Source organism: Homo sapiens, chromosome X, assembly GCF_000001405.40.
Source record: "Homo sapiens chromosome X, GRCh38.p14 Primary Assembly".
Lineage (NCBI taxonomy): Eukaryota > Metazoa > Chordata > Mammalia > Primates > Hominidae > Homo > Homo sapiens.
In genome coordinates this window covers 154671523-154698845 of record NC_000023.11, presented here as the reverse complement: position 1 = coordinate 154698845, position 27323 = coordinate 154671523, and the positions used below count along the sequence as shown (strand labels likewise).

Sequence of the window (27323 nt, the reverse complement as noted above, 5' to 3'; positions counted from 1 at the left end):
TATCACTCATCGTTCTGTGCATGCCCGTCAGCAGAGGTATTCAGGGATAGAAGAGGATTTTGGCAATGAGCAGGCTGACTCCTCTGTGCACGGGGTGCCTTGCAGCTTCTGTCTTACTCCCAGGCAGCTTCTCTGGTTTGCTAAGCAGCACAGACAGACAGAGAGATAGATAGGAAAAGAGGGAAAGAGGAAGAGCAGGTCAGAGTGACTTTTTAACTTCATTCTTGCTCATCCTCCCCTTCCCAGTTGGCTGTGTGATTACAAGGAAGCATTGGTAGAATGACTGATCTCTCGTGCATTCCAACTTCTCTTTGCCCTTTAGAAAGCAAAAAAAGTCACTTCAGGTGGCTGTGCCCAAAGCTGCCAACTAAGACCCCTACTCATGCCTGGTCTACTCCAGGCATATTCCCTTAAATTTCAGTCAAAATACATTTATACATTTACAATGCATGCGCTGCATATGTATTGCTGTGGTGGGCACTGGGTGGGATACAAAGATGAGGGAGCAAGGAGGGTTCTTCAGTCTGAGGGGGAGGAAGATATGTAAAATCCACCTGGACCATGAAATAGAATTATGAAATCAGTGCTAAATAGGAGAACAGACCCTGTCTTATGAGGTTCAGAGGAAATAGCCATTAATTCTGGTCAGAAACAATTAAACAACAACAGAACTTTCTGTGATGTTGGAGATAATGGCTATTGAACCCTTGAAATTTGGCTAATGTGACTGAGGAACTACATTTTAAATTGTATTTAATTTTAATAAATGTACATATATGTCTAAATGGGCACGTGTGGCTAGTTGTCACGACAATGGACAGTGCAGCTCTGCAGGACCTTGTGATAGGCAACAGAAGATGTCTGACAGACTCAGGGTTGGAGATTTAATGAGTGGATGCAAAGGTGGATACCTGAGCCAGGACTAACTCAAGAAGATGGGCCACTGAGGTGGAATAAGGGTTGGGGCAGATACCAAGTGCTTTTCTAGGTGCTGAGACTACTGCAGTGAACAAACCAGATACACCCCTATTCTCCTGGAGCACAGTTTAGGTCCAGATAAATCATAGATGAGTGTATTATCACAAACTGGGGCTGTGCTGTGAAGGGTAAGTACAAGAACTTGAGAGCCCAGGCTGTGGGGCCTGATCTTGTCTAGAGGCAAAGAGATGGGATAGAATGTTCTAGGCAGAAGGATCATCAGGTGGACAATGGATTGTAGGTGGGGAAGACTAGGACCTGGGTGATCATCTCTGCCTGTGATAAGAAAGGTAACATTTCCACTTCAGACACATCGGGTGTGAGGTAATAGATGTTGCAATTCCACAAGGTCAGAGACTTTCATCTGCTTTATTCATCCTGTGCCTTCGACACCTAGAAGCACGCGTGATATACAGAGACTTCTTAATAATGCCTTGCCACGTTGTTACCTCCAGCAGGTAATGTGACCATTTGCTCAGTATTTGTCTTTACTCCCAGTGAGGCAGGGAAGAGGAGGACAGTGAAATTCACCCTCATCATCAGTGCTGCCTGTTAGTAAATGTGGATTTGGTGTGCTGGGAAAGTGAAATGTCATAGTTTTACAGTCTTTAGACTCTGGCCTTGACCTCCTGGATGTTGCACACTGTCTTGTAGCACGGCCACCTCCTCTGGACCTGAGAAACCTCTCGATCATCCGGGAACATGCATCTCTTACCAGGACCCGCACTGTGCCTTGGTAAGACTGATTGCTCAAAAGAGCCTCATCCAGCACAGACACCCCGGTGTGTGTTAGGCCTCTGATTAAATGTAGTTGAAGCCCATCTGATCTAGCTTAAGCCAAAGGAGGGGTGAGGTTTATTATCGAGAGCAAGAGCTGTTTTATGGATCACAAAGGAAGGAATATGTCTGGGTCTCCCAGGATCCTGGAATCAGGAACTAGTGTGCTGTTGGGAACCCAAGGAATCTACTCACTTCTGCTTCACTCTTCACATCTGTGCATTCCTTTGTCTTTGCAGTATTCTTTTCTATTGCACAATCCTCATGGTCAAAGATAGCTGTACCATACCCCCTGAACTTGTTTGCATGCTACAACTCCAGTACCAACAGATGGGCTCTTTTTCAGTGCCAATTCAGATTTCCTGGGGAGAGAGAATTGTGTTCCCCAGTCTCAGTGGAACTGGCTATGGCCCAAGCCCAACTTTGTGAATGGGGTAGGACAAGGGAGTTCCCAGGTTCACGGGCTGGGTAGACAGACTTCAAAATGTAATTGCACCCTTTCATCTCACCTTTTAGAAGTTGCATTTTTAGTCCTGAGCTTGGCTCAGGAGTTTCTCGGTTCACTCTAAATGCCACAAAACACAATTGCATTGTAAAGCAGAATTCTGCAATGAGCTGTATTTCCAGCCAAGACTGTGACTCAGCTCATGCTTCTGACTCAGGAGAAGGATGGGAGTTGATTGGCAGTCTTGTGTCCTATCAGAGGAATGGCCATACTTCCTCACTTTTCCTTACATTGAATAGAAACAAGAAGGCCCCAAAGGAGTATTTTTTTTTTTTTTTTTTTTTTTTGCTAAATGATATGATGCCCTCGTCCGTTTAGAAAGCTCATGAGCTGTGTCACATAGAGGGCCTGAGAAAAAGCAGCCTTTGTGAATTGGGAGCCATTTGCCCCAAAGTGGAGCAGAAACTGTTGGGCATTTTGTGCCTCTTCAGGAATTGCTTTGGCCGGAAGGAAGTTGTGTCTGGAAGAGGAGGGCTGAAACCCCATGAGGGCCATGTTAGTTCCTGGCCAGCTTTCAGAGCAGCTGTAAGACATTGCTTTGACCTCATCTATATTTTTATTCTTAGCAGTCGAACCAGCTTTCTCTCTCCAGAAAGAAATGGTATTAATTCTGCAAGATTTTTTGCTAATCCTGTTTCCAGAGAAGACGAAGAAAGCTACATCGAAATGGTAATCTTATATTTTTCACACTCTTCTTATCCTTCACCCCAATCTGTAGTCTTATGAGCTCATTGTAAAGGAAACACATCCTTCAGTAAGCCCTGTGCAATTTTAAAACAACCACTTGATCGTAAAACCAGGCCACAAGCTTTTCTAGACTTGGAACAAATCAATTTGAAGTTGGCTTTCTTTCCTGCAACATTCAACTCCTCATACCATTTTGAGATTGCAGTATTTCAAGATAGCTCAGGGCTGAGGCTTGCTTAATTTGAAAATGGAAATGCCAGCAATTCTTTTCACCAAGGCTGTGATGTCCTGTTTGACCCCAATAGGTTTGTAGTTCTCTGGATGTCCAGAGTTCAAATTGTAAAAACTCAACATATTACATGGTCCCTTCCACCAGAACACCTGGTGGCCCTGTCCTGACTGCTTCTGAACCTTCCTGGAGGATGAATCACTTAGAGTCCCATTGGGAAAGGTACAGTGCCCTGGACTGTGAGTGTATCTTAGCCTCTGGAAGATTCCTATTATGGGTCTTTCTATAGACCTGAGTGGATGGAGACTTGATTAACCATTTGCAGTTAAAGAGTCCTGATGTTTCCCTTCTAGCCTGTTGTTCCTTCTATTCTCTTCATCTTGGATGCTATTGAGAACATGGGCTTTTTGAAGATGGAGAGGAACTTTTAGCACCTCTGGCAATTAGCAGACACTTTAGCCATGACAGTGCCTGTTCTGCAATTTAGAAATGTAGGGAACTCAAGAGAGAGCTTCTGTTTGAACTACGAAATTTTGAAAAGAGATCTTAGAAGGACAATGTTCAAGGCTCTGTGACAATATACTCTTGAGAAGACAATTCTGCCTTCCTATATGCAAGGATAATCAGCAACTGAAAATCTAAAAATAGTAATCTCCAGTTAAGCTATAATTAAATGCTTCATTTTACCTTCTTATTTTATTCAAATCATGCTGTAAGTGCACTTAACCGTATGCAGATGCAAAGTGACTCATATACAAATCTGTTATGGTCTTCCCAATATTTCTGACACTTAGTAATGGCCCTTGGGAAATTTCTAGAAGAAAACACTCTTATAAAACGATGCTTAACAGCTGTGCTCTGTCTCCAGAGAACAGAAAAAGGAAGTGAATCTAAAACCCAATGGAAGCAAGTACAGAGTCATTCCAGATACCAACAGTTCATTTCTGATCTTTGATGTTGTGAGAAAGATCAGTGTTGGCTGGGCGCGGTGGCTCACGCCTGTAATCCCAGCACTTTGGGAGGCTGAGGCGGGCGGATCACAAGGTCAGGAGATCGAGACCATCCTGGCTAACACGGTGAAACCCCTTCTCTACTAAAAATACAAAATACAAAAAATTAGCCAGGCGTGGTGGCGGGCGCCTGTAGTCCCAGCTACTTGGGAGGCTGAGGCAGGAGAATGGCAGGAACCCGGGAGGCAGAGCTTGCAGTGAGTCGAGATAACGCCACTGCACTCCAGCCTGGGCGACAGAGCCAGACTCTGTCTCAAAAAAAAAAAAACAGAGAAAGATCAGTGTTTCATTAACAACAAAGCTAAGAATCGTTTGTTTACCTAGGTTTATAATCACTGATCAATGACTGTCTCTGTGTATTAGTAGGCAACATGACACAGCAGATTAAGAACCCAGAACACTGGCTGATAGTAGCTATGATCTGGGAACTGTCGTATAAAAATGTTTAAAGGCTATCCCATCTTGTTCAATTGTGTTTTTTTAAACTTTAGTAATAAGACAGTTTCACATGACTTTGATTTACGTTATTTCACTTGTGCCACATAACAGCCCAATATGGTAGTCAAACCTAGTATGATTTGACTTTGATTTTGTGCATAAGTATATATGTTAATTTTTTTTTTTCTCTTTAAGGGCAAGTTCTGATCTGAATGTAGTGATTAAGGCCAGGGGCTGAAACACGGTTTTGCTTTACTGAAATACAAGTTTTGCCATATATCCTTCTTTAAATGTTTGTGAAATTATAGAAAATTTAGAAGAATAAACATAATTTTATTATATGGGATTTCTTCTCTATCACTTTTTCAAGCCCTTTGATTTCAACAGCTTTGTAAGGCTTTTATAGTAGAGTTCTAGCCTCTTAAATCTCACATTAATTTTTTGATTATGGTATTACAATACTTTTACATTTTTAGATCATTTTTACATCATACAGTGAAATTGACTTTCTCTTGGTGTGCAGTTCTATGAGTTTGAACATATATAGAGATTTGCGTAACCACCACCATGATCAGAGTACACAACGGTTCCAAAATCCCTCATGCTACCTCTTTAGAGCCACATCCTCCCTTCACCTGTAACCCCTAGCAACCATTGATCTGTTCTTCATGACTATAGTATTGTCCTTTCAAGAATGCCACAAAAATAGAATCATACGGTACCTTTTAAAACTGGCTTCTTTCACTCAGAATGGTTTTTTTGAAATTCATCCATTGTTACATGTATTAACAGCTCTTTCCATTTTATTGCTGAGCAGTGTTCAAGCATATGGATGTGTCATATCTTGTTTGTCCCCTCACCCATGGAAGACATTTGGATTTTTTTCAAGTTTTTAGGCAATTAGAACTGTTAGATGCTTTCTTTTACAGTTTTTGAAAAATATTTTTCTTGTAGTAAAGCTCTACTTTCTGTCTCTATGAACTTACCTGTTCTAGGTACCTCATATAAGTGAAGTCATACAATATTTGTCCTTTTGTGTTTGTCTTCTTTCATTTCATCTAGTGTTTTCAAGATTCATCCATATTGTAGGATCCAACAGAATTTCATTTCTTTTTAAGGCTGACCACATTTTGTTCATCCATTCATCTGCTAATGGGCATTTAGGGTTGTTCCTACCATTGTCTATTATGAATAATGCTGCTATAAACATTGGCATACAAGTGTATGCTTGACTTCCTGCTTTCAATTTGTTTGTATATATATATGTAGAAGTGGAATTTCTGGATCATATGGTAATTCTATGCTTAACTTTTTAAGGAACCACCAAACTTGTTTTCCACAGTGACTGCACCATTTTACATTACTGCCAGTAACGCACAAGGGTTCCAATTTCTCCACATCCTCACTAACAATTTTTATTTATCTTTTTTTTTGGAGACAGAGTCTCGCTCTGTTGCCCAGGCTGGAGTGCAGTGGCGCAAGCTCGGCTCACTGCAACCTCTGCCTCCCAGGTTCAAGCAATCCTCCTGCCTCAGCCTCCTGAGTAGCTGGAATTACAGGCGTGTACCACCATGCCCGGCTAATTTTTGCATTTTTAGTAGAGATGGGGTTTCACCATGTTGGCAAGGCTGGTCTCGAACTCCTGACCTCATGTGATCCGCCTGCCTTGGACTCCCAAAGTGCTGAGATTACAGGCGTGAGCCATCACACCCGACCTATTTATCATTTTTTATAATGGGTATCCTAACGGGTGTGAATTGGTATCTCATTGTGGTTTTCATTTGCATTTCCCTAATGATTAATGAACATCTTTTTATGTACTTATTGGCCATTTATATATCTTCTTTGGAGAACTGTCTATTCAAGTCCTTTGCATATTTTTAAGTTAGGTTGTTTCTTTTTTTGTTGTTGAGTTATAGGAATTTTTAAAATATATTCTGGATGTTAACCCCTTATCAGATACATGATTTCCAAATATTTTCTCTCATTCTGTGGGTTGTCTTTTCATTCTCTTGATAGTGTCCTTTGATGCGCAGAAGTTTTTTATTTTGATGAAGTCAAAATTTTCTTTCCTTTTATTGCCTTGCTTTTGGCGTCATATCCATGAAATCATTGCCAAATCCAATGTCATGAAGATTCTCTCCTATGTTTTCTTCTAAAAGTTTTATAGTTTTAGCTCTTATGTTTAGATCTTTGATCTTTTTTGAGTTAATTTTTGTATGTGGTATAAAGTTAGAGGCCAACGTCATTCTTTTGCTTGTGGACATTCAGTTTTCCCAGCACCATTTGTTGGAAAGTCTAGACTATCCTTTCCATGTCGAATGGTCCTGGCGCTCTCATTGAAAATCTCGTTGAAAATCAATATATGCAAGGGTTTATTTCTTGGTCTATATGTCTATCCTTATGCCAGTACCACAATGTTTTGATTAGTGTAGCTTTGTAGTAAGCTTTGAAATCAGAAAGTATGAGTCTTCCAACTTTGTTCTTCTTTTTTATGATTGATTTGTCATTTAAGGGTCACTTAATATTACACGTGAACTTTAAGGACAGGGTTTTTTATTTCTGCAAAAAAAGACCATTGGAATTCTGATGGGGAATGCTTTGAATCTGCAAACCGTTTTGCATAATATTATCATGTTAACAATATTAAGTCTTTCAATTCATGAACACAGATATCTTTTCATTTACTTATGTCTCCTTTACTTTCTTTCTTACAGTTTTCAATGTATAAGTCTTTGCCTCCTTGGTTAAATTTATTCCTAAGTATTTTGTTCTTTTTTTTCTTTTTTATTTATTTATTATTATTATACTTTAAGTTTTAGGGTACATGTGCACAATGTGCAGGTTAGTTACATATGTATACATGTGCCATGCTGGTGCGCTGCACCCACTAACTCATCATCTAGCATTAGGTATATCTCCCAATGCTATCCCTCCCCCCTCCCCCCACCCCACAACAGTCCCCAGAGTGTGAAGTTCCCCTTCCTGTGTCCATGTGTTCTCATTGTTCAATTCCCATCTATGAGTGAGAACATGCGGTGTTTGGTTTTTTGTCCTTGCGATAGTTTACTGAGAATGATGATTTCCAATTTCATCCATGTCCCTACAAAGGACATGAACTCATCATTTTTTATGGCTGCATAGTGTTCCATGGCGTATATGTGCCACATTTTCTTAATCCAGTCTGTCATTGTTGGACATTTGGCTTGGTTCCAAGTCTTTGCTATTGTGAATAATGCTGCAATAAACATACGTGTGCATGTGTCTTTATAGCAGCATGATTTATAGTCCTTTGGGTATATACCCAGTAATGGGATCACTGGGTCAAATGGTATTTCTAGTTCTAGATCCCTGAGGAATCGCCACACTGACTTCCACAATGGTTGAACTAGTTTACAGTCCCACCAACAGTGTAAAAGTGTTCCTATTTCTCCACATCCTCTCCAGCACCTATTGTTTCCTGACTTTTTAATGATTGCCATTCTAACTGGTGTGAGATGGTATCTCATTGTGGTTTTGATTTGCATTTCTCTGATGGCCAGTGATGGTGAGCATTTTTTCATGTGTTTTTTAGCTGCATAAATATCTTCTTTTGCGAAGTGTCTGTTCATGTCCTTTGCCCATTTTTTGATGGGGTTGTTTGTTTTTTCCTTGTAAATTTGTTTGAGTTCTTTGTAGATTCTGGATATTAGCCCATTGTCAGATGAGTAGGTTGCGAAAGTTTTCTCCCATTTTGTAGGTTGCCTGTTCACTCTGATGGTAGTTTCTTTTGCTGTGCAGAAGCTCTTTAGTTTAATTAGTTCCGATTTGTCAATTTTGGCTTTGGTTGCCATTGCTTTTGGTGTTTTAGACATGAAGTCCTTGCCCATGCCTGTGTCCTGAATGGTAATGCCTAGGTTTTCTTCTAGGGCTTTTATGGTTTTAGGTCTAACGCTTAAGTCTTTAATCCATCTTGAATTAATTTTTGTATAAGGTGTAAGGAAGGGATCCAGTTTCAGCTTTCTACATATGGCTAGCCAGTTTTCCCAGCACCATTTATTAAATAGGGAATCCTTTCCCCATTGCTTGTTTTTCTCAGGTTTGTCAAAGATCAGATAGTTGTAGATATGCGGCGTTGTTTCTGAGGGCTCTGTTCTGTTCCATTGATCTATATCTCTGTTTTGGTACCAGTACCATGCTGTTTTGGTTACTGTAGCTTTGTAGTACAGTTTGAAGTCAGGTAGTGTGATGCCTCCAGCTTTGTTCTTTTGGCTCAGGATTGACTTGGCGATGCAGGCTCTTTTTTGGTTCCATATGAACTTTAAAGTAGTTTTTTCCAATTCTGTGAAGAAAGGCATTGGTAGCTTGATGGGGATGGCATTGAATCTGTAAATTACCTTGGGCAGTATGGCCATTTTCACGATATTGATTCTTCCTACCCATGAGCATGGAATGTTCTTCCATTTGTTTGTATCCTCTTTTATTTCCTTGAGCAGTGGTTTGTAGTTCTCCCTGAAGAGGTCCTTCATATCCCTTGTAAGTTGGATTCCTAGGTATTTTATTCTCTTTGAAGCAGTTGTGAATGGGAGTTCACTCATGATTTGGCTCTCCGTTTGTCTGTTGTTGGTGTATAAGAATGCTTGTGATTTTTGCACATTGATTTTGTATCCTGAGACTTTGCTGAAGTTGCTTATCAGCTTAAGGAGATTTTGGGCTGAGACAATGGGGTTTTCTAGATATACAATCATGTCGTCTGCAAACAGGGACAATTTGACTTCCTCTTTTCCTAATTGAATAGCCTTTATTTCCTTCTCCTGCCTAACTGCCCTGGCAAGAACTTCCAACACTATGTTGAATAGGAGTGGTGAGAGAGGGCATCCCTGTCTTGTACCAGTTTTCAAAGGGAATGCTTCCAGTTTTTGCCCATTCAGTATGATATTGGCTGTGGGTTTGTCATAGATAGCTCTTATTATTTTGAGATCCGTCCCATCAATACCTAATTTATTGAGAGATTTTAGCATGAAGGGCTGTTGAATTTTGTCAAAGGCCTTTTCTGCATCTATTGAGATAATCATGTGGTTTTTGTCTTTGGTTCTGTTTATATGCTGGATTACATTTACTGATTTGCGTATATTGAACCAGCCTTGCATCCCAGGGATGAAGCCCACTTGATCATGGTGGATAAGCTTTTTGATGTGCTGCTGGATTCGTTTTGCCAGTATTTTATTGAGGATTTTTGCATCAATGTTCATCAAGGATATTGGTCTAAAATTCTCTTTTTTTGTTGTGTCTCTGCCCGGCTTTGGTATCAGGATGATGCTGGCCTCATAAAATGAGTTAGGGAGGATTCCCTCTTTTTCTATTAATTGGAATAGTTTCAGAAGGAATGGTACCAGCTCCTCCTTGTACCTCTGGTATTACTAGATTTTTAAATTTTCTACCTTCTGATGGATGTATATTGGTATCTCAGTGTGGCTCTAACATGTACTTTCCTAATGGTAAATTATGTTGGACATATTTTGGTGTGTTTACTTGCCATCCATATATTTTCTTTGGTGGAGTATCTGTTCAATCTTTTTGCCAATTTTTAAATCAGGTTGTTTGTTTTCTTACATTGAGTTTTGAGAGTTCTTTATATATTCTGTGTACAAGTCCTCCAAAGGGGCCAGCCATGGTGGCTCACGCCTGTAGTCCCAGCACTTTGGGAGGCTGAGGTGGGAGGATCATCTGAGGGCAGGAGTTCGAGACCAGCCTGGCCAACATGGTGAAACCCTGTCTCTACTAAAAATACAAAAATTAGCTGGGCTTGGTAGCACGTGCCTGTAGTCCTAGCTACTCGGGAGGCAGAGGCAGGAGAATTGCTTGAACCCGGGAGGCAGAGGTTGCAGTGGGCCAAGATCATGCCACTGCACTCCAGCCTGGGTGACAGAGTAAGACTCTGTCTCAAAAAAAAAAAACAAAAACAAAACAAAAAAAACCCAAGTCCTCCAATGGATATATAGTTTGCAAATATTTTCTCCGTATCTGGAGCTTGTCTTTCCATTCTCTTCTGTCTTTTGCAGAGCAAACATTTAAAAATTTAATTAAGTCCAATTTATTGATTTTGTTTCCTTAATGGATTGTTATGTCTAAGAACTCTGCCTAACCTTAGTTCATTAGAATTTTCTCCTTTATTTCCTTCTAAAAGAATTATGGTTTTACATTTAGGTCTATGATCCATTTTAAGTTTATTTTTGTATGAGATGTGAGGTGAAGTCGAAGCTGACATTTTGCATATGGATGTCCAAATGTTTCAGTACCATTTATGGAAAATATAATCCTTTCTTCATTGAATTTTCTTTGCACCTCTGTAATAAATCAGTTGGACATATTTGTGTAGATTTTCTATTCTGTTCCATTGTCTCTTTGCCTATGCCATACAGTCTTGATTATTGTAGCTTTGGAGTAAATTTTAAAATCAGGAAGTTTATTTTCTCTAACATCATTCTTGTTTTTAAAACTTGTTTTTGTTATTCTACTTCCTTTGCCTTTCCATGTATAATTAGAGTCAGATGTTCTTTATCTACAAAAATATCCTGCTAAGACTTTTTTTTTTTTTTTTTTTTTTTTGAGACAGAGTCTCGCTCTGTCACCCAGGCTGGAGTGCAGTGGCGCCATCTCGGCTCACTGCAAGCTCCGCCCCCCAGGTTCATGCTGTTCTCCTGCCTCAGCTTCCTGAGTAGCTGGGACTACAGGCGCCCGCCACCACACCTGGCTAAATTTTTGTATCTTTTTTAGTAGAGACGGGGTTTCACCGTGTTAGCCAGGATGGTCTTGATCTCCTGACCTTGTGATCCGCCCGCCTCAGCCTCCCAAAGTGCTGGGATTACAGGCGTGAGCCACCACGCCTGGCCTAACACTTTTTTTTTTAGTTGGAATTGCATTAAATCTATACATACATTTGAGAATTGAGTCTTTACTATTCTGAATCTTCCAATTACTGAGCACAGTATATCTTTCCATTTACTCAGATTGGTTTTTGTTTTTTTTGTTTTGTTTTTTTCTTTTTTTTGAGATAGAGTCTTGCTCTGTCACCCAGGTTGGAGTGCAGTGGCACAATCTCGACTCACTGCAACCTCCCCTTCTCGGGTTCAAGTGATTGTCATGTCTTAGCCACCCAAGTAGCTGGGATTACAGGCACACGCCACCAGGCCTGGCTTACTTTTTTGTATTTTTAGTAGAGACAGGGATTCACCATGTTGGCCAGGCTGGTCTCGAACCCCCGACCTCAAGTGATCCGTCTGCCTCAGCCTCCCAAAGTGCTGGGAATACAGGCATGAGCCATCGCGCCTGGCTCATTTATTCAGATTTTCTTTGATTTTTTTCCCCTCATAATTTTGTAATTTTTACATAGATCTTATGTGTGTCCTATTAGATTTATATCTAAGTATTTCATTTTTGGAACTATTATAAATAGTATTTTTTAAATTTCAGCTTCCAATGACCCATTGGTGGTATATAGAAATATGATTGGCTGAGTTCAGTGGCTCGCACCTGTAATCCCAGGACTTTGTGGAGGCTGATGTGGGAGAATGGCTTGAGCCCAAGAGTTCAAGACCAGCCTGGGCAACAAAGTGAGACCCTGTCTCTACAAAAATGTTATTAAAAATTAACCATGCATAGTAGCTGTGCCTATAGTCCCAGCTAATCAGGAGGCTGAGACAGGAAGATCCCTTGAGCCCAAGAGTTTGAGATTGCTGAATTAACTTATTAATTATAGGAGGTTTTTATTTTCCTCAGATTTCTTGGGATTTTTTTTTTTTTTTGGTAGAGACAGGGTCTTACTATGTTGCCCAGGCTGGTCTTGAACTTCTGAGCTCAAGCCATCCTCCCACCTCAGCCTCCTAAAATGCTGGGATTATAGGCATGAGCCACTGTACCAGGCTTTAAGCCAGTCTTGTATTCTCTAGATAAACCCCATTTGGTCATGGTGTATTATTTCCTTGTATATATTGCTGCATTTCATCTGCTAATATTTTGTTGAGGATTTTCATGTCTGTGTTCCTAATGGGTGTTGATCTTTAGGTTTTTGTAGTGTCTTTGTGTGGTTTTGGTATTAAGGTCATGCCGGGCTCCTCAGGAAGTGTTCTCTCCTCTTCTAGTTTCTGGAACAGATCGTGTAGAATTAGTTTTGTTTATTCTTTAAATTTTTGGTATAATTCACCAGTGAAACCCTCTGGGTGAATTCAATTTCTTTAATACAGGATCATTATCTATTTGATCTCGGGTGAATTATGGTTATTTCCTAGGAGTTTTCTAGTTTTACCTTCACATTTGGATTATACCACCTTGAATTAACTTGTGTGTGCTGTGAGATAGGGGTCAAGACTCATTTTTCCCCATATGTTTATCTAATTGGTTGGCACCATTTATGTAAAATGACTATCATTTACTGACAATTCGGCAGTGCCATCTTTGCCATAAATCAAATATCCATATATGTACGGGTTTTTTATGGACTCTTAATTCTATTCTGTTGGTTTCCCTGTCTATCTTTGAACAATACAAACTCCCTTAGTTGCTGTAGCTTTATAAGACTCAATATCAAGGAAAGTAAGTCCTGCTTTGTTTACCTTCCTCTAGGTTTTTTTTGTTTTTTTTCTTTGACTTTTCTACTCCCATAAAAATTTTAGAAACAATTTTTTAATTTCTACCAAAAAAGGAAAAAAATATTGTTCTCAGCAGGAAGGGTGATCAAAATTACTTTATTCAACATTACTGGAGGTGAAACTACATTTATTCTATTTTTAAAATTTGATGGAACACTTTGGTAGGCAAGATAGCATGAAAAACACCTCTTATTATAAATATGATACATTTTTAAGTCTAAAACTCAGCTGACAAGAAGGGAAGGGAAAAGAAATCTCTGGGGCCAAAAATATTGAGAAACAGCAACCCCCCAAATTAATAAGAATTACAAACAATAGAATCAAATATGGAAGTAGGCAGTTTTTGGAAACACTGGATTTTGAATATAAAATAAGTAGTTTTACTATATTTAAAGAAATAAATGAGAAATTGAAAGTTGGATTAAGTAATGAGATACTATTAAAAATGGCCAAGTAGATTGTAAAAGACCATTTACAACTTGTAGAAATAAAAACAAGAATGAAATTAGAAACTCAATGGATGAGATAAACAGACTAAGCACAAAGAGTGATTTAGTGAGCTGGAAGATAATTTATGAATAAGTTACTAATAAATCAGAACGAGGAGTTAAAAACATGGAGAATATGAAAGAAATTTGGGACATGGAAGATAGAATAAGAAGGTCAAATATTTGTATAGTCAGAGTTGCTGAAGAAGATTATAGAACCATAGGAGAGAGGCAATATGTCAAGGGATAATGCTAGAGTTGCTCACAGTTCATGAAAGGTACCATTCCTCCACAAGCCCAAAGACTTACAAGCAGGTTAGTATAATAAAATGTTAGTGGAGTATACATGGTGGGTATATTTTCTTTAATTTGGCTGATTGCTGGAAAAATTTTATAATAATAAGTTTAGAAAAACCCTACAAAAGTGAAAGAATAAAGGCAAAAGCAGAAACTAACAAAATAACAAAATCAGAGAGGATCAATACAGCTGTAATTGGCTCTTTAAAAAGACTAAAATTTAACAAAACTAATACAAAAGATATGAATACAAATAAGTAATATTAAGAATGAAGAACAGATAATAATTACAAATACATGAGAGATTAACTACCTAAGAGAATTTTGTGAACAACTCTGTACCAATAAATTTGAAAACTTTTGTGATAGGCAAATTCTCTGGATTAAAAAAAAATCAGAAATTGACTCAAGTAGAATTAGAAAACCTGAATGTTTATGTACCTATTAAAGACACTGAATCAGTAGGAAAATTTGTACTACAAAGGATCATAAGGCCCAAAAAACTTTACAGATAGTTTCGACCAAAAAGAAGAGATAAGTGCAATCTTATATAAACACCTACCAGGAATGGGAGAAGAGAATATTACCCACCTTACTTTATGAGGCTAAAATAATTTGATAAAACAAATAGCAATTACATAAGTAGAAAGCTGTAGGCCAATGTTACTGGTGGATGCGGATTTTAAAATCCCAAAGAAGAATATGTCTAACCAAATACTCGTACACAAATGTTCATAGAAGCATTTTTTCATAATAGCCAGAAAGGGAAAACAACTCAAATGATCATCGACTGATGAATGTGTGAATAAAATGTAGTATAATATATAATAAAATGTAGTATAATATTCCATTGTATTATGCAGCCACAAAAAGAAATAAAGTGCTGACACATGAACCTCAAATGGAAGATTGACCGCAAGCTTCCAATTTCTCTCCATCCCCAAACACCCTCTAAAATAACAGTAAAGAAATCTGTTAAAGGCATAAACCCACAAAGATATGAAGAATTGGAGAAGAAAATAGCAGTAACATATTGGAAACTAGAATGCAGGTAGATATGTAGTAAATGACTTACAAGACCCCTCCCCCCCACAAAAAAATTAAATCTTAAATGTGGTGGAAGGAAGGCAAGAAGCAACTTGACTTATACTGCAGACTACCCAAAGAGTTCAGGAATTGTCCACAGTAGGTAGTTCTGAAGTAGGGTTGAAGGGAAAGTAAAAGAAGCAGTAATGGTCAAAGGCATCAGGTAAATTCCAAGATCCCTTCCCTCACTCCATGGAGGTGAAACACTGTGACTTTCCATCCCCCATCTCATAGAAAAGTTGAAGTTCAGTCTCTCTGGAGAGAGTAAAACAAAAGGTCTCTGCACTGGGGGATACTAGACATATTTGACCACGAATACTATACTAACGACAAGGTGATTAAGTAAATAGGCATAATGGATATGAGAACCATTCTCAAGCCCTTTTCCAGAATGTTGACAACCAGACCATTACAATTGAGTTTGGAGATTAGAAAATATTTCTCTGGGCTATTTGAGCAGCCCAAGTGGCAAAACGTAGTTCCTAATATTGGGGGTTACTCAAGATAACCACCCAATGGGATCACCCTGCAGAAAACTCCAGAGCTGACAAACACCATCCATGTACACAAAGCTCCACGTTAGCTTTTTGGTCTTTCGCTCGTAAGTATAAGCAACAGTCAGTGATTTCATGTGACATTTCAGGAGAACTCTAGCATGAAAGATTGAAATCAAAACAGATTGGAGGAAATAAGAACTATGCCAGAAGGAAAAGTCTTTTTATTTATTTATTATTTTATTTTTTTGTGAGGCGGAGTCTCACTCTTTCACCCAGGCTGGAGTGCAGTGGTGCAATCTCAGCTCACTGCAACCTCTGCCTCCCGGGTTCAAGCAATTCTCCTGCCTCAGCCTCCGAAGTAGCTGGGACTACAGGCATGCGCCACCATGCCTGGCAGATTTTTGTATTTTTAGTAGAGACAGAGTTTCACCATGTTGGCCAGGCTGGTCTTGAACTCCTGACCCCAAGTGATCCGCTCGCCTCGGCCTCCCAAAGTGCTGGGATTAAAGGTGTGAGCCACTGCGCCCAGCTAGGAAAAGCCTTTTTAAAACTCTATTATTACCAATATTCTCAGAGAGATGAGCTATTACAACCATAAACCAGGAATATCTATTAAGTCAACCAAGCACATTAACAGATTAAAGGAGAAAAATGATATATTATCTTACTAGATGCAGAAAAAGCATTTGATAGAACTCAACATCTATTCATGAAAAAATCTATTAGTAAACAAGGAATAGAGGAATTTTCTCTAACCTCATAACAAATGAAAAATGAATCTTATAGAACCTGTAGTAGATATCATACTCAGTGGTTAAAAGCTAAAAACATCTCCTAAAGAAACAAAATGAATAAGAATTGGAAAGGAAGGAAGAAGACAAAGAGTGATTATTCTTAGATGAAGCGATAACTCAAAATAATCTGCTTATATGAATGATAACTCGAAATAATCTACTTAGAAATAATTAGAATTACTAAGTTAGTAAAATAAATAATTACAATTAATAAAAGATATCAAGATTGATGGATATAAAATCAATATACACAATCCAGTTCACTGTCTAGATAATGGTAACAAACAGAAAAAAGAATTTAAACAAAACTTACCATTTACAGTAACAACAAACTCTAGGCATTTAGCGATAAACCTAACAAAAAATATTGTGGAGAAAATTATTAAAACTTATTGAAAGACATTAAGGAGAATGAAATAAGTGGAAAAGTAGACCATGTTCCTGAATAGGAAGACTCAAATATTAAAGACATTATCTAACCAATTCCCTAACAGAGATTTTTGAGGAACTTTGAAGCTGATTCTAAAAGGGTCAAGATCACGCAAGACATTCTGGGGGAAACCAGGTTATCCATGTTGAGTAAAAACAACAACAAAAATGGAATGAATTTTATTTCTATTGCACCACCATATACAATATTAAAATCCATTCAAGTGAGATTATTGCTTAAACGTGAAGCAAATTATTGCAAAACATTATAATTTCAGGAAAAATATAGAGAAATAAATTATGACCTCAGCATAGGGAAGGATTCCTTAAACATAATGTAAGCCATACAGGAAAAGATCGACATTACATTAAAAGTATTTCTTAGTCAAAAGAAATACCATAAAAAGAAATGAAAAGACAAGAAGCTAGACTGTGATGAGCTATCTGCAACATACATGATAGCAAATGATTACTCTCCAGGGCAGAGGAAAAAGTACTAAGGGTAAGTAAGAAAAATATACAAATAATTCAATACAAAAATTAACCAGAAACAAGGCAAAAAAAAAAACCCAAAAAACAAAACAAACCCAAACAGGCAATTCACAGAGGAGAAATAAACAAATGACCTTTCAACATATGAACAGGTGCTCATACTAATTAATAATCAGGGGAATGGAAAATCAAACCACAGTAAGATACCATTTTACCTGTCTCAGGTAGGAAAAATGTTAAAAACTCTGACAATACCAAGTGTTGGCCAGGATGGGAAGCAATAGAAATTCTTATACACTCCTGGTACACGTGTAGATTGGTTCACTCTGGAAAATAGTTTGGTGATATTTAGTAAAGTTGAAGATACTCATATCCTATAACCCAGTGATTCTATTCCCAAGTAAATGCCCTAGAATTTCTCCCACAGGTGCATGAATGCCCATGGCAGCATTGCTTACAATAGCCCCCAAACTGGGAGCAACTCAAATATCCTTTGATGGCAGAATGATTAAATAAGTCATGCAATGGAATATCTGACCCACTGCAAATGAGTGAAATAGGGCTAATGCTTCGACACAAGTGAATGTGGAGTACCTAATATTGAACACAAAACTGAAGCCGCCCAAAATGCATACAATGTGATTCTGTTGATATGACATTCAAAAACAGGCAAAATGAAATAGTCTGTTATTTAAGGATACTTGCATACTCATAAAACTATATTTAAAAGTAAAAGGAGTGGTAAGCACAAAATTCAAGATAGTGCTTTACCTCTTGGGAGGAGAAGGAAAGATGGTACAGGGGAAACAGCTTCAAAGATATGGATTGGTAGCATTGCACTTCTGAAGCTGGGCCCTGATTTTCATCTGTGTTATAACTGTTTGTATTGTGCAAACTATATTTAAGTGCATTTGGGATGCCTTCACGAGAACTTTAATAAGTATAGTTGATCTTGTTAGGGTTTAATCTCTGAAGTATCACAGGCCTGTCAGATTCGTGAAGCAAATTCCTTTTTGAGTGAATTTTGGCAAACTGTTCCCATGGTGAATAATGGTATGGTTTCATTGCGAAGGCCAAATTGGCTATATTCTGTTTGAAATTACAGTTCTCACTCAGATATGCAGGCTGATTGACTCAGGTCTCATCAGACTATTCTGTTACGATCTGATGGCAGCTGCTTGGGTGAAGCCACAACTTGCCCTCCTTCCCTTGAGCAACCAAGATAGACATCATTAACCTGACTCCTGTGATGTTGGTTCCTAGGAGGAGCACCGAACAGCCAGTTCCCTGAGCAGTGGTGCCCTTACGTGGACAAAGAAATTCAGCCTAGATTATTTGGCCCTGGACTTCAATTCAGCATCACCAGCCCCCATGCAGCAGGTAGGAAGGGCTTTGTGTCTAAGAATTCCCAGGTGATTCCATCTCTGCCTAGACTTTTCTGATTATCAAACCATGCATATTCTCCTTAGAAAGTGTTAAAAATGCAGACATGTATAATGAAGAATATTAAAATCGGCCCTCATCCTGCCTCCCAGAGAGAATGAAATCTTGGTGTATTTCCTTCTAGGGTGTGTTCTTTGTGTGTGTATGTATAAATAGATGTGATATTCACACTTCAAAATTTGGACCAAAAAGTTTATAGAAAAATATCTCAGGCAGAAATGAGGGTCGGGTAGAGGACCCTCCAGGTGTAGGAACATCCTGTTTAGGGAACAAGTAATAGTCTAGTTTGGTTAGACTTGAGGGAGCAGTGGAAAGAACTGTAAGTTGGAAGTAAGGGGCCTTGAATGCTGAGTTGGGCAGCTACCCCTTTGGGTAGAATTCTCATCTGAAAAATGGGAATCAGAAATGACAACACTTATGTCAAGGGCTGTTGTGAGGATTAATTGAGTTAATACATGTAAGTTATCATATCTGTGAACTAGTATCACCCACTGTACAGCGTAAGGAATGAGTGCATGGGAAACAACTGAGGACTTTCCTCCTCTTTTGCTGAGGTAACTCCTACTTGTTTTCTACTTTTAATATCGTTCCAAAAACCTGATATGAGACTGGAGAAAAGCTGGTAAGAAGGGTGGGAGCAATAAGTATAAAAGGAGCATTAGTCAGTTTTGGTAGACAAACAACCCCCAAATCTCATCTGCTTTCAACACAAAGGCTCTTTTATTGCAGGCCAGAGCCTTTGTGTTCCAGGTCATCTCCAGTCCAGGGCCGAGGCAAGAGAAGCAGCCCCCATCTGAAGTGTGCTGGCCTCCTGGCAGAGGAAAAAGAGAGATTGCAGAATCACAGAATACCTCTTTCTCCTTAGGATTGGAACATGTCACTTCCTTTTTGTTATTATTGTTTTGTTTTCTTGAGTCAAGATCTCACTCTGTCACTCAGGCTGGAGTGCAGTGGCATGGTCATAGCTCACTGCAGCCTCGATCTCCTGGGCTAAAGTTATCCTCCCATCTCAGCCTCCCAAGTAGCTGGTACTACAGTTGCACATCATCACCCACGGCTGTTTTTTATTTTTTAATAAAAAATGATCTTGATCTCCTGGGCTCAAGTGATCCTCCTGCCTTGGCCTCTGTATTAGTCCATTCTCACACTGCTATGAAGAAATACCTGAGACTGGGTAATTTATAAAGGAAAGAGGTTTAATTGACTCACAATTCAGCGTGGCTGGGGAAGCCTCAAGAAACTTACAATCATGGTGGAAGGGGAAGGAAACACATCCTTTTTCACATGGTGGCAGGAAAGAGAAGTGCAGAATGAAATGGGGAAAGCCCCTTATAAAACTATCAGATCTCTTGAGAACTTACTATCATGAGAACAGCATGAGGGTAACTATCCCCTTGATTCAATTACCTCCCACCAGGTCCTTCCCAGGGCACATGGGGATTATGGGAACTACAATTCAAGATGAGATTTGAGTGGGGGCACAGCCAAACCACATCCCAGCCTCTCAAAGTGCTGGGATTACAGGCACGTGCCGCCATGCCAGGCCATGTCACTTCCACTTACATTATATTGATCAAAGCAAGTCAAGTGGCTAGAGCAAAGTTGAGGGAAGCAGAAGCACGTGCGTGCACACACACAAGCACACATACAAAGTACAAAGTTTCCACACAGAGGAAAGGGCAACAAATATTTAACAATTTAATACAAAAGGGTAAACATTTTCCTGACATTTTAAGTTAGATGTAATGAAAACCTTTTTGTTCTCCTCCTTCAGAAACTTCTCCTTTCAGAAGAACAAAGAGTAGACTATGTCCAAGTGGATGAGCAGAAGACACAGGCTCTCCAGAGCACAAAACAGGAGTGGACGGATGAAAGGCAATCCAAAGTATGAGAGGTGCGGGCTTGTGCCATGTGTGAAACAGGGAAGCTTGGGGCTCAGTTTGAGTTTTTTCTTTTTTTTTTTTTTTTGTCCACTAAAAACACACTGATGGTCAACACAGGTCAAAACCAAGAGAGAATGTGTAGTTTTCAAGGTCTTGGCCAGAACCTTTAGGAAAGAAGACCTGTTTATACATTGAAGGAAGAAAAGAAGGAAGCAGTTGCCTTCCGGAGGGGGCTCTGAGAGAATCTAGCCTCCCCTCTGTCCTATTGGAGCAAAGATTGGAGTGAGTGTTGCCACCAACAGGATTTTATCGTTTGACTCCAATACCTGAAATTCTGACTTCTCTCCTGTGCTTCAATGAGAATGATAAATTATCCTAGCAAAGGGGCCTCTGGAGACCATCTTGTTCCAGCCTCTGAAGACAGTTGAGGAGATCAAGCCCAGCAATGGTGGCAGAATCTTACTCCACAGACTTCAGCAGACTAGTCATTTCAATACCCAAAGAAAGACAAGTGACAGGGGCAATGGATCTCAGGCTCTGAGATAAGTATATCAGATGACACTGGTGGCTCTAAGGATATTGCAATTAAGCAGCTACCTGTAGCCAGGTATTCTGCTGCTCTTGGCCTTTTCCCACGCATCGTCTCGTGTCTTCTCCGAAAGACCTTGGAAGATAGGCCTGGAAGAGACTGTTGATGCCACTTTGAAGAAAAGAACACTGAGAACTAGAGGAGGGAACACTTTGCCCAAGATTACTCACAAAGCCAAGACCCAGAGTCCAGCTTAGAGAATAGAGTTGTTCAGGCTGCCAATTGCAAGCTCATTCCTCTACCTCATACTTCCTCTGAGGATTTTGACAAAATGGATTAATTGGGTGAGCCTTGGAGACATGTGGGAAACACCTGCAGACACAAAATGAGTAGTCATCCTGTCTCCCTTTCAATAGGGATCTGAACAGGTGTTTTGATACTTGAAAGATGTGCATGTCAAGTGAGGGTTTCTTTCTGCGATGTTCAACTGGAACTCTCCCATCAGTAGTTACAATTAGAAATACCTACTGATGGTTAGTCTGAAGGCCATTCTCATGGTCACCTATACAGTGTGTTTCCCTGTGAGCTAGCAGACACAATGACCAGGAAAAAACCTATGAATTCCATTCTTAGGTTTCCCAGCCAATTGCTCCCTTCTGCTTTAGAAGTGACTAGGTACTGAGAGTACAAACACTCCCACTTTATAATGAAGGCGTCATGTCACCCCTTCCTTTACAGGTCCTGGGGTCCAGGAGACCCAGAATGAAGGTGTCAGTTGGGCATGAAGTGTTATTTAGTGTCCATTCTTGATCCTTCTGAGCACCTACAGCTGGAAACTAAGCAGATACTGGTCCTGCATTCTGACTGAGATTGTGTCTTCTTTATGAGGATAGATCAAATTGGCAGTCAGGCCCATGATAGTCAGTGCAGTTGGGGCAGTTGTAGACTTTGCTACAGGATTTCAGGGTTTCCAATCACCCCACAGGTAAGTGAATGCCAAAGTCTTCTTTTTTCAGACCATACAAGAAGTCATTTTGATTTTCAAAGAAGCCGTTTTGATTTTCAAAGAAGCAGGTTCTGGTGACATTATTTTCTTCCTTGGACAAAGTGGGGGGAAATTTCTAAGTATTTTAACTGAGTTCAGGGTCCTTAGTGAGCCTGGACAGAGCAAGGAGAGGGCTCCCCACTCCCTAAGCCCCACAGCCAGCTCTGCATCACCACACACAGCCAGAGCCTGTGAGGAGCTGCCTTCTTCCCCATGTGACTTGCAAAGAGTCTCAGGCAAGAAACCAGGGCTTCAAACTGCTAGTTCCCATGGAGGGTAGTTCCCTCGTGTGGAGCACTTGTGTTAGGATCACTGATTATCTGACAAAGGCTGGTGCAGAAAAAAAATTGTAGGCCCAAGTGTCAAGAACCACACCAGATTGGAGATAGAAAAGAATAGCTGAAATTATGTCAGTAGTGAAATGTCACTCCATTGACCCACCGAAAAAAGAAAAGAAATCTGTTTCTACCAAACATTTCCAGAAACGTATTTATAGCATGAAGAAACACACATGGGTAGTGTGACCTGTTTGGATGTGATTACTTAAAAATGGAATGCTCTGAATAGGCACTCTCTACATTAAAGGTATGGAAGGCGATAGGGGTCAGAATTTTAAAAATTTAATTTTGAAAAAGGTGACTCACCCCTCATTTCCAGAGTGTAGGCAATTATGTCCTGCTTTGATAAAACTGCTAGAGGATGGCTATGCAAAAGCATAACGATTCAAGGAAACAAAGTACAGGTAGTTTTTGAGCTGACAGCAGCAAAGGCACCATAAGTCAAAATATTGGTTTTGGTGGAGATGATCGATGTGTGTGTGTGAGAGAGAGCTATGTTTCTAACCAAGGGCCTAATGTTTGTTACAGAAATGATCCCAGAGACCTACAAGATGTGGGAATCAGCATAACAGGGCAATGCAGCAATTAACCCCACATCGTTTTCTGTAGTTCCTTTTTGTTTCATTTTCTTCTGTCTCACCTCGTTAGAAAATTCCTCCCAGTCAGGGGTCGTCCAGTGCAGGACGGGGGACCCAAGGGTCTCAAGCCTGCAAGTCCAGAAGGTGACAAACCCAGGAGCACTGGGAGTTAAGCTTTCCTTGGGGAGGGAAGAGCCTTGATGTCCAGCACACAGCCTGGCTATAAAGACACGAAGCGACCTACCCACTGTACAGTCCACTTCACAGGATCAGCTGAATCATGACCTTTAAAAGTTCCGAGTTGAAACTGAAGGCTCTCCTCAGACCTGGCTTTTTCCTCAGTCCCTGTTCATACCATCTCTGCACCCACAATCACACTGATTTTTCAAATTCATTTTGTTTTTGCTGTTTCATTTCTGGCATTAATAAAAGTCTTATAAGGAGAAATCGTGACTTAAGTTCTTTTTTATTTAACTGATGACATCCAATATAAATAAGGAACATGTTTTGAAAGCGGAATATTTGAAAATGGACTTCATAACCACTTTTACGTTGAAGTACAACAAACTTAACCTGATTCACGTGCATGTTATTTCACTGCAAACATTTGAGCAGGTGTCTGTAATCAGTACTGCTTCGGCTCAGCCAAACCATATCTTGTCATTTTCTTAATTTCTTCGTTGGAAACTCGCTTTGATAATTGACACTAAAATCAACTGCTCTCCCTGACACCATGTATAACATGACCTTCGTGATTACTTGCATGAGAAGGTAACTGCCCTACGCCTGCCTGCCCCAGCAGGCATCTCTTTTGCCACCACCTCCCTTTTCTCCATAGCTGAGTCTCCCAGATGCCCTGGGTGCTGGGTCAGTGGCATCTCGAGGCCGTGAAACAAGGAAAGGACAAAGAAAGTAGGGAGGGGGCGGGCTCAGGTTTGGGGGAAACAGGCCAAAGGCATAGAGAGAACAGGCCTGGGGGATCCTGGGACCTAGAGAAAGGACAAAAAGCCACATTAAATCCCTCACCCCTGGTGAAGTATGAGGCCAATCAAGAACACTTTTTCCCTACACACACACTCTAGACCAAATCTCTGACCCACAAAACAGCAGGTTGGCCCATAAGGCCAACTGAGAGACTCCTTAACCGGGTCCCCACCAGCCACATCAGGATGCCTTTCTCATCACCCATGGAATACACAGAATAAAATGGGATGGAGGACATTTATTAATGATAAAGGGTTCAATTCATGAAGAAGACACAATAAATATGTGTGCACTGAATATAACAGAGCTTCAAAATACATGAAGTTAAACTCATAGAAAAAAAGGAATACATAAACCCACAGAGGTGAATATTTTCACACTCCTTTTTTAGTAACTGATAGAACAATATTTTAGAAAATCAGATATAGAAAAGCAAACTAGACTGTGCACAGTAGCTCATGCCTGTAATCCCAGTGCTTTGGGAGGCTGAGGTGGAAGAATTGCTTCAGGCCAGGAGTTTGAGACCAGCCTGGGAAACATAGTGAGACCCTGTCTCTACAAAAATAAAAATACAACAAATTAGCCTGGCATGGTGGCACACACCTGTAATCCTAGCTACTTGGGAGGATGAGGCAGGAGGATAACTTGAGCCCAGGAGTTTGAGAATGCAGTGAGCTATGATCATGCCACTGCACTCTAGCCTGGGTATTAGAATAAGCCCCTGTCTTTAAAAAAATGAAAAGAAAACAAGAAATAAGAATAAATTATAGTCTAAATATAGGAATGATCTCAGCCATGTAGAAGAATAGGAGTTCTCCAGCTTTACTCTCCCAAACAGAAATCCAACCAGTAACTATCAAAAGGCAAGACCACCATTGTGAGCACCACAGAACTCAGAAGTGAATGTGAGACACCCCTTTGAACTACAGAATCTAGAAAGCCCACAATCAGATGGTAAGAGGAACAATTCTTTCTAACCTTGCTGCCCTTCCTCCAGGCTGGCACAGTACCGCACACAGAATTTTTCTGAGCTCATAGTTTCTACTGTGGGAGCAGTGAGTTGGAGGCTGACATTTGTCTTCCCCACCATTCTGAACCCCTTTCAGGAGGCTCAGTCTTGTCACATACTTCAGGGAACATTGGGAGTGCCAGCAGGGCTGGACACCTGGGGTAAGTTGGAGATGGAGGATTGGGGTGGAGCTTACAGTGACAAGGGAACAGATTTTGGTGGTTACTCTGCATTCTAGCCAATGGAGGCACCATGCTGGAGAAACTAGCCAACGGCATCACACTTTAGGAAATATAATACAGATTCCAAACAATAGTACCACATGGCCTGGGAAGACAACTGCAACCCTGCCTAATCAGAGTTGATTGCAGAGCCCAGCCAGCAGCCCCACCTGACAGTGGACTCCAGCCAGTGGTCTCATTGGACCATGGTGCAGAGGCAGCACTACCATTCAACCTCAGAGCGCAGGAAGCAACTCAAGAACATGACACCAAAGACTGCTTGTATATGGTTGCAACCAGCTGGCTCATTCAGAATCTCAGGTTAGACTAAATAGTAAAGGTCTATTATCACCAAAGAATACCTGCAAAGAATGAAAGACGTGGCTAGGTCCTCAAATGCACAGGCATCAATGTAAAAACACAAAGATTATGAAAAAATCTGAAAAATACAACACACGAGAAGAAACTAATAAAGCTTCAGTAATGGACCCATTAGAGAAGGAGATCTATGAAATAACTGACAAATAATTCAGAATAACCCTCTTAAAGAAGTTCAGAGAACTATAAAAATACAAATAGATAATCAAATAAAATAAAAAACAATTCATGAACAAAATGAGAAATTTGACAAAGAAATGGAAACAATCATCAACAACAACAACAACAAATCAAATAGAAATCCTAAAGATGAAGAATACAATCACTTGTGGAGCTTGGTGGCTCACGTCTGTAATCCCAGCACTTTGAGATGCCAAAACAGGTGGATCAATTGAGCTCAACAGTTTGAAATCAGCCTGAGCTACATGGTGAAACCCTGTCTCTACAAAAATTGCAAAAAATAGGCTGGTGTGGTGTCTCAAGACTGTGGTCCCAGCTACTTGGGAGGCTGAGGTGGGAGAATTGCTTGAGCCTAGGAGGTTGCAGTGACCAAGATTCCACTACTGCACTGCAGCCTGGTTGATAGAGAGATACTCTGTCTCAAAAAAAATTGTAGAATACAACAATTGAACCCTAAAACATCAATAGAATGCCTCAACATCAGAATAGACCAAGAAGAAGAAGATGAAGAAGAAGAAGAAGAAAGAAGAAGAAGAAGAAGAAGAAGAAGAAGAAGAAGAAGAAGAAGAAGAAGAAGAAGAAGAAGAAGAAGGGGAGGAAGAAGAAGAAGAAGAAGAAGAAGAAGAAGAAGAAGAAGAAGAAGAAGAAGAAGAAGAAGAAGAAGAAGAAGAAGAAGAAGAAAGAAGAAGAAGGGAGCTCAATGACAGGACATTTGAAATTATCCAATCAAAGGAGCAAAAAAAAGGATCATAAAAAGGAATGAAAAAAGCTTAAGGGATTTATGAGATAGCATCAAAAGGGCAAGTGTTTGGGTCATCAGAGTTCAAGCAGGACTGAGAAAAACAACTAGGTAGAAAGCTTATTTAAAGAAATAATAGCAGAAAATTTCCAAAACGGGAGAAAAATATAAATATTCAGGTACTGGAAGGTCAAAGGACACCACTCAGATTGAATCAAATAAGACTACCCCATGACATATTAGAATTAAATTGCCAAATAACAAAAACAAAAAGAGAATTCTGAAAGCAACAAGAGGAAGGAAGCAAATAACACATAAGGGAGTTCCAATATGTCTGGTAACTGACTTTTCAGTAGAAACCTTATGGGCCAAGAGGGAGTGAGATAGTATATTCAAAGTGCTGAAGGAAGAAAAGAACTACCTACTAAGAACACTATACCCAGAAAATCAAGACAATAGAGACTTTCTCAGAAAAACAAAAGCAGAGACGATTCATAATCAATAGACCTATCTTATAGGAAATGCTAACGGGAGTTCTTCAAGCTGAAAGAAAAGGATGCTAATGAATATAACATCTGAACTTATAAAACTCACTGATAAAAGTGAGTACACAGTTCAATTTACAATATTACAGTAATGATGGTGTATACTTTGCTTACATC

The 27323-nt window shown here is 39.8% G+C and overlaps 1 protein-coding gene across 13 annotated transcripts in view; it reads left to right on the top strand.

Moving 5' to 3' along the window:
- Positions 1-23597, top strand: part of GAB3 (GRB2 associated binding protein 3) — a 76318-nt gene extending 52721 nt beyond the window's left edge. For 4 of the 13 annotated variants that reach the window (NR_104114.2, XM_047441834.1, NM_080612.4 and 1 more), the window contains 4 exons: positions 1633-1714; positions 2827-2929; positions 18598-18714; positions 20552-23597. Coding sequence is in view for 11 of the 13 variants with exons in the window: in XM_047441834.1 (XP_047297790.1) it covers positions 1633-1714; positions 2827-2929; positions 18598-18714; positions 20552-20668 (419 nt within the window). In the remaining 2 variants the exon portion in view is untranslated. The remainder of the gene's footprint in view (positions 1-1632; positions 1715-2826; positions 2930-18597; positions 18715-20551) is intronic. The other 9 variants (XM_047441835.1, XM_006724804.2, XR_938505.2 and 6 more) reach the window with 8 other exon arrangements.